The sequence below is a fragment of the Homo sapiens genome, chromosome 2, assembly GCF_000001405.40.
Source record: "Homo sapiens chromosome 2, GRCh38.p14 Primary Assembly".
NCBI lineage: Eukaryota > Metazoa > Chordata > Mammalia > Primates > Hominidae > Homo > Homo sapiens.
In genome coordinates, this window is record NC_000002.12 from 177,887,739 (window position 1) to 177,902,015 (window position 14,277).

Sequence of the window (14,277 nt, forward strand, 5' to 3'; positions counted from 1 at the left end):
GTGAAACCCTGTCTCAAACAAACAAGCAAACAAACAAAAAGGATTTTGCTCCCTGAGAGAAAAGAGAGGGATGTGAAAAGAAGTTTCTCTTTCTTCTCCTGGACACAGTTATGTGTGGACGTGCTGCCTAGTGCACTATAAAGGGAAAAGCCAGCTGGTGATGGCCAACCACTGAGACAAACAGAGGGCAATGGACAGAGCCTGGGTCCCTGATCACATCATCTGGCTGCTGCGTCATCCCCAGAACCACCTCCTGGAGACTTCTAGTCATGTAAGTTAATAAATGTTCTCAGTGTGAAAGCCACTTGCCCTTGAATATTCTGTTACCTGCAGGAGTCACCCAAATTGATCCATAAATTAGATACATTTCAATCAAAATCTATACAGAGTTTTCATGGAATTTGCTAAGCTGCTATTAAAATTTTATGGAAGAATGACAGGTCAAGAATAAGCAAGCCAGTTTTAAAGGGGAACAACACTGAGGACTTGGCCTATCAGATATCAAAATGCATTACAAAATTACAGAAATTCAGATAGATACTGGTGCAGAAATAAACAAATAGACCAGCAGGACAAAATTGTGAGCTCAGAAACAGACCCAGGTATATATGGAAACTATAATTTTGAAGTGCCACTACAAAGTGGAGGCAAAACAGTTCTAAGACAATTGGTTATACACATACTGCTTTATACCCCACACAAAAACATTCTAGATGGATAAAAAAGACCATGCATACCAAATGGATGTAAAAAGATATACAATAATGCCATTATAGCTAAAGGTAGATAAAGATTTTTATAACAAAACCCTTAAAGCAAAAATCAAAAAAGGAGGTTAATAAATTTGACACATTAAAATTAAAATATTCCACAAATATACCTGTTGAGAGAGGCAATCCACAAAACCAAGCCATGCATGTCAGGACTTTAAGGCCCTAGTTCAGTTCTCAGGATTGTATTTGCAGTGAGCAAACCTGGGAGATGAAGTAACATCTTTCCACAGACAAACATCAGGCTTGATACCACTCCACAGAAAAGGGATATATTTCCCAAGCACAGTGTTGTAATACGACCTCTTCTGTAATATGACCCAGTGCATGTGCATGCCCATACCCACCTGTTGCACCTGTGGAACTTGGAGAACATGGGGAACCAGCACCATTGTTATGGTTTACAATATAAGGTTTACATTTGTATCTACAAGTATATGCTCCACTGTTTTTAGCCTTACTTCGATATTTAAATACATTCAATACTCAATACCCATCTTACTTATCCCAACTTCCCCACTCATCACCTGCTTGGCTAGATTTCAAACTCTCATACTTTTCAGGAAGGGCTTCTTAGAACTACATTTGCTGTGCTCTTCTTTGTATATTTGAAAATATCTCTCTGCAACTTGTGTAATTGTCTATGAGTTTGGCTTTAAATTTTGGATTTAAAATTATAGGGTCACATTTTCTTTCCCTGAGGACTTTGTAGATATTGCCCATTGTCCTCCAGCACAGGAGACTGCAACTAGGTAGTCTAACATCAGAATGAATTTTCCTGCAATAGATGCTTTGATTTTTTTGTGTGTAAATGCCCATATGCTTTTTTCAACATCTTTGAAGTCTATTAACACCAAATGTGTTTCAGTGCTAAGCAGTCGGTATCAGTTTTGCCTGAAATGGTGTGTTCCTTCAGTCTGTAAATCCAAGATTGCCTTTATTTCAGTAAAATGTCCTAGTGTTATAATTTTGAATGTTTTTTTTTTCCTGTTCCATTTGCCATGTTCTCTTTAGAGTTGCCCAGAATACTTAGTTTGGACCTCTGTTATTCTGATTCCATTTTTATCATTCTCCTTTTTTAATGCTTTATTATTATCCATTTTATTTTCAATTTTATTATTTGTGTGCCTAAAAGTATTTTAGAAGTATTATTTCTTCTTGTTTTTAATCTAGTATTCCTTTCTGTGCAGCTACATATTTTTCTTCTACTTTTTTTCAAGTTCTACCAACCCAGTTTCTTATCTTTTATACTGCTTATCATTTATTCCTTAAGCTTTTGTATCTCTTTCTTGAACAACTTTATTTTTCCTGAGAGATCTTATTATTTTTTATCTCATTTCATGGAAAACTTTAAGCATTTTTCTGGTGTGTGTTTTTCACTTGGCTTTTGTTTTCACATCCCTTCCTACTTCTTTTTTTGGAGTATCTTTGCATGAGCCCCTGCTAGTGGCTCTTTGTTGTGTGTTAGTGTTTAAATGAATAATGGATGGGGAGGGTGAAGTCAGGGGAATGATTTAGGGTGGCTGCATTTGAATTTCAGTTTATTGTCTTTGAGTGTGTTCTCACCAACACTGCTCTGAGCAGCCATTTCAGCTTCTGCCTGGTGAGAAGTCTCCTGTGCTTACTGTAAAGTCCAATATGACATAGATATTTTTGTGTAATGAATTAGCCTTCAAATATCTTCATCTGGCCAAGATAAGCAGCTGCAGGGTGACTTGCCATTTGTGTTCCTATTTATCCTGATACATCAACAGCCTTGTTTCCAGGATGACTTGTCTGCAACTTTCCTTGTTCCACTCACCCTGGCCACACCTTCTGCCAATCTATGGCAGCAAGGAGGACTCAAGAAACATCCCCGAGCCTGCCCAGGCACCTGCTCTTACTGTTTCAAGCAAGTATACATGACTTATTTTGGTGAACATTGTGCTCTACCCAAGATGGCTGAAGGGAAGTAACCTCACTCAGCCTTTTATTAAATACTTCATCTTATCTAATTTCTACTGAATTAAGTAGCCCTCCCAACCTTATATGGGGTGGAAGTGGAGTGATGACTTGTGGCATGGGGTTATGAGAACTTCTTTTGTGGATTATGGAGTCTGCATGTCTTGTCCTGGGTCCAGATTGGTCTTTAATTGCTAAAAGATAAATCCATTTAGCAAATCCTCTCTCCTGACACCCTGACTTTTAAGTTTGTTCTCTTGCTAAGAGGTTGACTACCTGCCCTTTCCTTCCATGAGATGATAAACTCATGACTCCTTCTGGAAGAGAAGATACAAGAAAATATGACTCAAAAGGAGAAAATTCAAAGCTCTGTCAATTTAATAGTTGTGAAAATGTAATCTCATTTATGTACCCATGTTCTGATAAAAACAGCTTCTTTTTATATATGTTGTTTCTCCCCTTTATTATTCACCTAAAATTATATCAAAGACATTGTTTCTATGAATATAGTCATATATCATTGTTTTAAAACACTACATAGAATTTCATTAAATAAACTTCTATTGATATTTGAATTATTTACATTTTCACTACTATAGGAATGCAGTAAGTATCCTTATATACTCATTTTGGTCTCATCTCCATCCATTTCCTTATTCTAAATTTTAAGAGGAGGAGTTGCTGGGTGCAAAGGTTACCCCTTTTTCAAGTTAAAATATATTTTCAGCTATTCGGGAGGCTGGGGCAAGAGAATTGCTTGAACCCGGGAGGCGGAGGTTGCAGTGAGCCGAGATCATGCCACTGCACTCCACCCTGGGCCTCCAGCCTGGGTGACAGAGCAAGACTCCATCTCCAAATATATTTTACCAAACTTATGACCATAAAAGTTATCCCAACTTAAGTTCCCATATCAGTAATGAGAAAGTCAATTTTCTAATGCCCATACTCACACTGGTTATTATAATTATTTTCAAGCTTTACCAATCTGATGGCTGAAAAAATCATAGAGCTGTTTGAAAGTGCTTATTCTCATCAGAATTGAATGATTGTTCTAAAGAGCCTTTACCTACCTAGTGAATAAAACATATTAACCAGTATTTTTGCATTTGATTTTTTAACATTGAATCTTTGATTCTTCTGAAGTTTACATTGGCATTACAGAAATAAGGCAAAAAGCTGGGTACTCATTTTTCAATGTTATAAGACGGCAAAGGATTATCTAGAACAGTGGTCTGTAAACCCTTGTCTGCTAGTCAAATCTGATCTACTACCTATTTTTGTCAATAAAGTTTTATTGCAACACAGCCATGCTCATTCTTTATATGTATTGTCTATGACTGCTTTTGTGTTATAATGGGCCAAGTTGAGTAGCTGCAATAGAGACTGTGTGACTTGCAAACCCTAAAATATTTACTCTCTGGGCATTTACAGAAAAAATTGCCAATTTCTGATCTAAGAAATGTACTTAGTTCCTTCCTCTCACTGGTTAATACAGATAAAAGACTCCAGATTTAGTGAAATTACATGTTAACTTGTACCTTTCTCTGGTAGAGATACAAGTCATTCTCTCCAAAAGAAAAGATAATCTTGAAGATTATAGTTTATGGCTTAGTTTTGTCTTTAACCAGTATTGTTTTTAACCTTGAAATTGTATCTTAACATTGCCCATAAACACCTAACTTTTCAAGTGCTCTTTGGACTGGTTTTAACGTCATATTGGCTCCCTCATACATTAATGAGTTTAAAAAATCTTCAACTTGCATTTATTTTATATTTATATGAATCATAATTTTGCCTTTTATAAAATTATATTTTTATAGGTATGAACTAGAAATCCAGCTTCTTACGGTTTTTTTCCAAATTGCCAGCCATTTGCTTCCAAAACATTCATAGAATAATACATCATTCTCCCCATCTATCTAATTGTTATATATGTGGATTGAATACAAGATAACTAATTAGAGAATATAATTTGCATATTGATTATAGATTTAAAAGTTCACAGATACAGCTATACAAAAAAGTAACATATTCTTTTTCTATAACTCAACTAAATTTATCTGCTTAAGCCTCAAGTCTGCTTATTGGCAGAAGACAAAAGAGATTACTCCAGTTAAACTCAGCCACTTCAGGTTTTCTCAGTCATTTCAGATTTAGACTCATTTAATACTGAAATTTTCACCAAGGAGACATGCACCTTTCTGGGTGCTTGGAGGAGACATGGCTGGCCTGCAGTCACCTGCTCACCCAGACTGGCCTCTGTTCTGAGATAAGAAGGCCTTGCTGGCCCTCAGCACAGTCATTCCTAACACTGGATATGCATAAATATCCACAGCCCCTCCAGGACTAGGTCACAACCCTGTCCCTTCCTCATCCTGACAGCCAGGCTTCTTCAGGCCCCAGCCCTCATCTGTTAATGTCTGCCAGGAAATGGGAAAAGTTGCATTTGCCTCTCATGCTCCTTTGGGACTCTAGAAAAGCTGTCAGGCTCTCACTGCCTCTTACTGCCTCTGACATTGTCACCTCTTTTTTCCTGCCATGATGCCTGGGGGAAGTTTCAACTCCCCCCACCTGCTCTCCAATGCCCACCACCACCACTATACGGAGAATTGAGTCTGGGAGCAAGGTTAGGAAGACTGACAACCTCACATTTATTATTCTCCTCTCCACCTCTCCTCCCTTAGTCCAGGCAATCCAAGAATGGGATAGTCTAGGGCTTCATCTATTCTCTTTTCATTCTACTGTTTTGTTCATAATTTTAGGTTCTGATTCATTCAAGCCTTTAGGAAAAAGTTTTGGTTTTCCAGAATAACCCTGCTATAAATTTTATATTATTTATTTATTCATCTATTTATTGATTGATTGATTTTCGGAGGTGTTGTTTCACTATTTTGCCCAGGCTGTCCTTGAACTCCTGGGCTCAAGCAATCCTCCTGCCTCAGCCTCCTGAGTAGCTGGGACTGTAGGTGCATGCTACTGTGCAAAGCCCTGCTATAAATTTTAAAAGCCCGTTTTGGAACCTAAAAACCCATTTAGCTGTTCCTGTATTATGAGTAATTCCTCCCCTGAAGTAACATACCACATGCTTACTGTCAAGTTGGGGAGGGGTGTGGACAGGGGGACTTCCCTTAACCCCTTGATATCAATCTTTTTTTCCTGAAATTTTTGTTTTATGTTATGTAGATAACTATTGGTTATAACACATCTAAAAATGGAACTAGCACTTTGCATAAGGAAAAGCTCTTTGGTGTTTATCATAAATACCAGGGGCATCAGAGGTGATGAAGACTGTCTAAGAAGCATCCTGCTAGTGATATGTTCATTGATAATAATAAGGAAAGAAAGGTCATAAGTAATATGGAAAAGGTATAATTGTGGATTTGCTTGGTAATATTGAGATCTTATATGGATTCCCTTATTATTATAAAAATATACCTATTATTGAAATATTTCCAGTAAAAATAACTTTGTCAAGTTTGAAAATCTTCTAATACAGTAGATTAGAAGGGTGGTCATTCTTGCTAATCTTCTAACTTGGACTAGTTTTTATGGTGTGGTCTAACTCTTTGGCAGATGACCAAAAATGTACAGATGATGGAAGTTGATATTGAATGTGGGGGCAGAGATAAACAGTTTCCTGTTTATCCTGGCTTCTTCTCCTGAATGTGGTGGGACTGTTTCTAGTATCCTTTCTATAATTTCTACTGTACAACTTGGGTGGTGCACAGAACTGTGACACCTACAAGCCTAAAGGTTTGAGAAGCCTTTGGTGAGAAGTGTATTAAAGGAATGCCTAGTGTTGGTAAGTTTTCTGCTGGGGATGCCACATAAATAGATACCTTTACCCCAAACTTCTCCCACCACCTCCACAGGCAGCAGACTTGCCAAAAAGTCTTCACTGCTTCTGGAATAATACTGAGCAGATTAATATTTTTTTTCACCTGGTTCACTTTTAACCTTTAGAGTTCATCCGTATGGTGTTACAGGAGCTCATTCTCACTATAAACTAAAAATAAAATCCTACTCTAACTGAACAGACCCCCTCTTGGCCAAGGGGACCCAAGAAAAACCTTAAAAACTGAATTCCTGGCCATAAATGGAAGGAAAGTCGAATAGCCTCCTCATTATTCACCCTCCGTTTTGGAGTTCATACACAGCTGAGCAGCATTAATGTTCAAATAGAGATCATAAGACTCACGAAACAGACTCTTTGTGGCAATAATATACCAAATTATAAACAAGACCTAACACCATGTAAGGCAAGGGTTAAGTCATTCCTGCAGGCCACCAATCTTGCTACATAGCATCCTTATCTTAATTTAAAACATTCCTTTCTGCTGACTCTAAGTTCTAGATAGAGCCTTACTCCTTTAATCAACTGCAAATTAAACAATCTCCAAACCTACCTGTAACCTGTAAGTCCCTGCTTCAAGATATCCTGCCCTTCGGACCAAACCAATATACACCTTCCATGTATTGATTTATGTCTTTGCCTGTAACTCCTGCCTCCCTAAAATGTATAAAACCAAACTGTGATCCAACTACCTTGGGACCACTTATTCAAGGCTTCTTCTGTTTGTATTTTCCCTGGGCCACTGTCACTCATATTGGCTCAGAATAAGCCTGTTTACCTATATAACAAACTTGCACATGTATACTTGAACTTAAAATTAAAAAAAAAAAGGAGTGAGTTTCATATTTCAAGAGATGCTTTTTTGGAGGTGCTCTGAGGGACTTGATGACAGAGAAAACTTTCAATAATAAGTCTACAAAATACACAAGGTAACAGAAACAATTATCCATTTAAAAAATGCTATTCTGGGCCGGGTGCTGTGGCTCACACCTGCAATACTAGTACTTTGGGAGGCCGAGGTGGGTGGATCAACTGAGGTCAGGAGTTCGAGACCAGCCTGGCCAACATGGCGAAACTCTGACTCTACTAAAAATAACAAAAATTAGCTGGGTATCGTGGTGGGTGCCTGTTATCCCAGCAACTCAGGAGACTGAGGCAGGAGAATTGCTTGAACCCAGGAGGTGGAGGTTTCAGTGAGCTGAGATCGCGCCATTGCACTCCAGCCTGGGGGACAGGGCGAGACTCCACCTCAAAAAAAAAAAAAAGCTATTCTGCCTTTAAAAAGAATAACATTTTGTAATTTCAAACAACATGAATTAGCTTGAAGGATGTTAAGTGAAATAAGCCAGGTACAGAAAGACAAATACTGGATGATCTCACTTATTTCTAGAATTTAAAAAGTTGAACTCATAGAAGAAAAAAGTAGAATGGTAGTTGCCAGAGGCTAAAAGTAAAAGTGAGTAGACAGTTGTTGGTCACAGTGTACAAGTTTCGTTAGATAGAAGGACTATGTTTTTGATTATACATATACATTACAAATTATACATTAATAATTATCCCACAATATATACATGTATCAAAACATCACACTGTATACCAGAAATACATAAAATTATTATTTATCAATTAAAATTTAGAAAATTAGAATTTAAAAAATCAAAAAGCCAAAACAAAACAAAAATAAAATATTTTATGGAGTTTGGTTTTTCCATCAATATCACTTTGGAGGGGGATGGGTAAGAAAAGAGAAGAAATGATGAGGAGTGGTTCAGAATTTTCTGCCCCAACATTAGTCTTAGAATGTTCAGCAGTGATAGCAAAGAGGCCTTTTGAACTTTCAGTAGAATACCAGCCAGCGCTGTTATCGTTTGTACCATCTACTCTATCTAGATGGTGTATTTTGATCACTCCTCTTCCTACTTTATACCATGAAGATACTGCTGTTTCTACTGCTCCCTCCAGCTCTGCCCCAACATTCTATATCAACTTCCATCATCTATATTTTTTTGGTCATTTGCCAAAGAGTTAGACCACACCATAAAAATTAGTCGAAGTTAGAAGATTAGCAAGAATGACCACGCTTAACTGGTTTAAGTTGTTTTTATATCTGTTTACAAGTGAGCTAGCAAACAGTGAGTTTGCCTGTGTCCAGATTCCAGCCTGCATACCCCAGACCCTCACCCCCAGCCACTTGCTCCCACAGGGACCTTGGGGTGGTTCAGGTTATCCTGGCAGCCAAAGCCCCAACAGTTGCCCCTTCCTGCCTTTGTTTAATGGGGGCTTCTCTGTGGCCCTGAAATCTGCCAGGTATTAATGAGCACCCCTACCACTTCCCGTTCCTTTAAGGGGCTTTAGAGTCAGGCAGTGGAGGTGACTGGCAAGTCACACAACCTTCTGAGCCTTATTTCCTCATCTATAAAATTATTATAGGATGATAGTAACACCTACCTTATAAGATAAGGATTAAAAGAATGCAAATGTTTCACAACGTTTCTGGAAACACTCCATAAGTATGGCCTATTGGAGTGTGTGTGTGTGTGCATGTTCTCCCAAGGTTCAGCTGAGATTTATACAATCACAGGATACTTTCCAGGCTATTGTTTGTGTAAACCGCACTGACTGAAACAGAAATAACCCCAATCTCTGCTAAAATCTGGGGAAACACTCCTAAACATTTTAGACATATACAGATTTTAAAAGATACTCAATATTGTAAGTCTTACAATACTTATTAAATGTCCAAAATTTACCCTAAGGTTCCTATTCTTTGAGGAAAACAAACCCAAAGGCAAAGGGAATAATCTTTTCTAAGTAAAGTGTGGCAAAATAACATTCTGTCAGGTATTAAAGCAAATAATTGCTACACAATTCCCGATCTTTGAAGCAAGTTCTCAGCAAAAATATTAAATTGCTGCCAAGGGTTTAGACATTTAACTTTCAAGAATTTAGATTGATGATGATTATTATTTCAATATTGTTGCTTATCTACCCAGCAGATTTCCCCCTGAAAGCCAAAGGGCTTAACAAAACCAGAAAGCTGGCCACAAATTGCCACGGTGAGGCAGCCCTAAGGCTCTGAACGAGATGTTTCCCTATGGAGCAGCAGGAACCCCTGCAGGGAAGTGAACAGCAGCCCCCTTCACCTGGTAAGGCTACTTTGTGCCAGAATTCGCAGGTTAACAGCAGCTGTGAAAGAACCTGGAAGCCTCCACAGGACAAATCTGCTGCAGGGAAGGGCCCAGCTTCGGTTGGCCATTCCATTCTGCTCGAGTCCAGTTTGTCTGGGCTCCAAGAGCTAAGGGTACTGAATCTCCACTCATTTGTTTGCTTCCTCCTTGCCTTAAGAAGACCATGGAGCATTCTCTGGACTGAAATCCACCCCCCGAAATGCTGAGGGCCTTACCCTTCATAGGTAAATAAAATGTGAGACAGACACTTGAGTTTATCTTCTAATGGAGCTGTGTGAGGTTGGGCAAATCACTGAACCCCTTAGTTCCTTCATCTGCAATTACAAAGGCCTGGGTTAGATCTCTAAAGTCCCTGTTAGCTTAAAAGTCTATGTTTCTAAGTTGACTGCAAAAAGAGAATGAAATACACATAAAGAAAATAAAAAACTTGTTTGATGAAAAGTTGCCCCATGGTTGAAGAGTCACGAAGAGTGAATCAAGTCACAATTTCACAAGTTTAATTATAAATAAACTCAACTTTATTCCATTCACACAGTCTTCAACTTTAAAAGATAAAAGATAACTTACTGGTGATTCGATGTCCTCTAGGAGTAAAACAGAACAGCGTTCACATTTCAGCAGAGTTTGGGCCCGATGCATTATTTTCTTGACAATTTTCTCCAGGTCAGTCTGTTCTTCAAAGAGGTCATTAACCACCTCTAGCAAAGCCTAGAAAAGATGAAATAGATGTATATAAGTGGATGTAAAACTGAAAAAAAGTTGCTTTTCTTCTTAAAATTTAATCTTTGCTTCAATAAAATATAGTAAATCTTTTTGTGTAGCTAATTTTAAAAAATTTTATGATTGTTTTGACATATTTTTATCTCTCAATTTTAGAACACATGCTTAAACTGCAAAATACAACTTGAGAATAGAGCTAGTTCTTGTAACAGGTGTGAAGATAAGTAATTCAAAACCTAAGCTATTGGAACTCTAGATTATTTTGAGTCTTAAAGGATGCTGATTATAGGGGTCACTTGAGAGGCAGGTGTAACCAAGGCAGCTATAACCCTTGTTTCTCTTGACTATAGATTAGCCTTCTTCCTTACCAAAATTGTTTGGTAAAATGTTGAAAATTACTAATGAGCACCAGAGAATACCCCTTCCCTCTTCACTGTTGATCTTCATTACAGATTAACTTCCCTCTTACTCTTCTCACACAAGGACTCCATAGCCATAACATTGCCTTAAGATGGAATGTTAAATATACTCTTTTAAATTGGAAAGAAAATGAAAACCAGCTATGAAGAAAACAAGCTGTATAGAAAAGAAAACAAACTGTAACTAATTATATTGCTATAACTCATACACCGGCCTTGTATAGAAAATGCTGAAACCCTATTAAATTTCTTTACTTTGTGCCTGTAGAAGCAGGAGCTTAACTTTTAACTTTGGAACATTTACCCCATTTCTCTGGAGTCTGTATCTCCCGAATTGGCCATTCCCAGCTTTTCACTTGAATAAACTCTTTAAAACTAGATTCTGATTATTAATATTTCAGTTTGACACAGGGATCATATAACCATTAGCTACAGGCATTTCCACTTTTCTGTAGTGATTTTTCTGCAATGCAACTAGGTACAAACCCAATATTTTGGCCGGGCGCAGTGGCTCATGCCTATAATCCCAGCACTTTGGGAGGCCAAGGAAGGTGGATCACAAAGTCAGGAGTTTGAGACCAGCCTGGCTAATACGGTGAAACCCCGACTCTACTAAAAATACAAAAAAAATTTAGCCAGGCATGGTGGCATGTTCCCGTAGTCCCAGCTACTCTGGAGGCTGAGGCAGAATTGCTTGAACCCAGGGAGCAGAGGTTGCAGTGAGCTGAGATCGCGCCACTGCACTCCAGTCTGGACAACAGAGTGAGACTCTTTCTAAAAAACAAACAAACAAACAATAACAACAAAAAAACAAAACCAAAAAACATTTTATAAATAATGAATACCTCCAAAGCACATGGATTTCAGAAACTTACAAAGCAGCTTTTCCTCACTATCAGGAAGAAACAGGTTCTTGGTCAAACTTGAGACATTTTCACTAATACACATCCCTTACATAACTCTGAAAGAATTAGAGAGGTGAATGCTAATTAAGTTTCAGATTCTTAAATATATATATATATATATGTAATTTACATTTAGTCTTTGCTAAATATAAATACATAAATTACATATATAATATAAATATATATAATATATACATACCCTTCATATATATAAAATATATATACCCTCCATATACAAAAATATACATATATACACACATACATATGTACCCTCCTTAATTCCTCTACCCAAGAGGAAATACTGCTTTATCCCAAACTGTCCAGAAGAACATTTAGATATTTATATATCAGGAAAGAAAACACATTAATTTTTTTTTAAAACAGCAGAATGAAAAGCAGACAACTTAGAAAAAAATCTTAAGCTCTAACTTGAAAACTGTGTACTTATTTAAAAATTAAATTGTAGTAACCCGTGGTTTTCTCTAGCTAAGAAATTAGCTGCAATTTTTTTGCATTGAAATAATGTTTGTTTGCTCAGGTCAGGTATGGATTTGTGAAAAATAAAAAATAAATAATAAATAATATTTGTTTGGAATTTTTAATGGCATGGATGTTTCCAGAGATTTAAGATTAGTAGGTTATGTACAGGTGGTAGACATTATGCTTCTCTCAGAGAGCAATCAGAAAATTACATAGTCAGTGAATTGCCCAGAGGGCACTTGATTCAACAGAATGTAGAAAGAGGTGCAATCTCAAGTCTGACCTCTCACAAAAGGAATTCATGAATTGTCAAATTCACATCTATTCATCATGGTGCTGATCATCATCTCAGGGACATGACTAATTTTCAACTTCAATAATGAATTTGATTTGTCCTGAAATTATTTGAAATGTGACAATTTCTTCTCTGAATCTATTCAGGTAAAAAAGCATTTGAGTAGCTGGGTGTGGTGGCTCATGCCAATAATCCCAGCACTTTGGGAGGCCAAGGCAGGCAGATCACATGAGGCCATGAGTTCTAGAGCAGCCTGGGCAACATGGTGAAACCCTGTCTCTACTAAAAATACAAAAAAATTAGCCAGGTGTGGTAGTGCATGCCTGTAGTCCCAGCTACTCAGGAGGCTGAGGCAGGAGAATCACTTGAACCTCGGAGGCGGAAGTTGCAGTGAGCTGAGATCACGCCACTGCACTACAGCCTGGATGACAGAGTGAGACTCCATCTCAAAAAAAAAGAAAGAAAAGAAAAGAAAAAAACATGTGAATGAGTTAAGAAATCCATGAAATGAGTCCAGTTCAATGAGCAATTGAAAGAGGACCAAATATCCTGGGTAGGGTTATTGAAACCACCATTGCAAAATTATAACTGGGCTGACCTAACCAGCTCCATCTTGCTTCTAATCTCCAAACTGTCCTTGTTCATTTCTGGGCATAGGCTGAACTAACTTTGGGAGGAACACAGTTTATAGTTTATTGTTTAAAACAAAGATGACAATAGCCCTTTCCCAAACAAACCTCCTTCTTCCCTGGGGACTAGAATGCCTTCGAAGGACTAACAAATTAGCCACAAGATCAGAAATTATGGCTTAGGAGTCATACAGCTGACTCTTCCTAAACTGCTTCTCAGATCAGTGCTTGAGATATTTTGCAGACCCCGTACCTGATGGATCAGCTGGCACCACCCAGATCGATAAATTGGCTCATCTGATCTTGTGACCCCCCCCATCCATGAGCTAACTCAGGGCAAGAGGACAGTTTCAATTCCCTATGATTTCATCTCCAACCCAACCAATCAGCATTCCCTACTCACTGGCCTTCCCCCACCCACCAAATTATCCTTAAAAACTCTGATCCAGGGAGACTGATTTGAGTAATAATAAAACTCCGGTGTCTGGCACAGCTGACCCTGTGTGAATTACTCTTTCTCTTTTGCAATTCCCCTGTCTTGAGAAATCAGCTTTGTCTAGGCAGCAGGCAAAGTGAACCCACTGGGTGGTTACATTATCTCTAAAGAAAGACTGAACAGAGCTAAGGACCATATTGCTCCATGATCCCAAAGCAAACAGGAACATCAAAAGGTGAAAAAACTTTTAAGTGAATCTTGATATTTGGCATTTGGACAGCAAATCTCTGTAAGGGGTCAATGAACAATAATTTCATGTTTAGACATTAAAAATGAGACAATTGTCTCAGTAATTACAAGCAAAAAGCCCTGTTATTAATGGGGAAAACATTATTTCTTTAATCATCTAGACTATTTCTTCAGATGGATCATATTAACTGAACAATTATTTAACTTTTCAATTTGTTGTGATTGCATGGAGAGAGCCTCTGGGATCCATATACAAGAATATTTATCTCAGAGGAAAAATTAATTGTGCCTTGAGTCTTGCACTGACAAATCACATTACAGTAATTTTATTGTTTCTAATTTAAAATTGCTTTATTAATGAGTGATGGAAGTTTTACAAATAACAATGCAGA

The 14,277-nt window shown here is 37.7% G+C and overlaps 1 protein-coding gene across 4 annotated transcripts in view; it reads right to left on the bottom strand.

The window, feature by feature from the left end:
* Nucleotides 1-14,277, bottom strand: part of PDE11A (phosphodiesterase 11A) — a 485,096-nt gene that overhangs the window by 264,495 nt on the left and 206,324 nt on the right. For 3 of the 4 annotated variants that reach the window (NM_001077197.2, NM_016953.4, NM_001077358.2), the window contains one exon: nt 10,320-10,460. In NM_001077197.2, the coding sequence (NP_001070665.1) occupies nt 10,320-10,460 (141 nt within the window). Of the gene's footprint in view, nt 1-880; nt 1,019-10,319; nt 10,461-14,277 lie in introns of those variants that run through there. The other variant, NM_001077196.2, reaches the window with a different exon arrangement.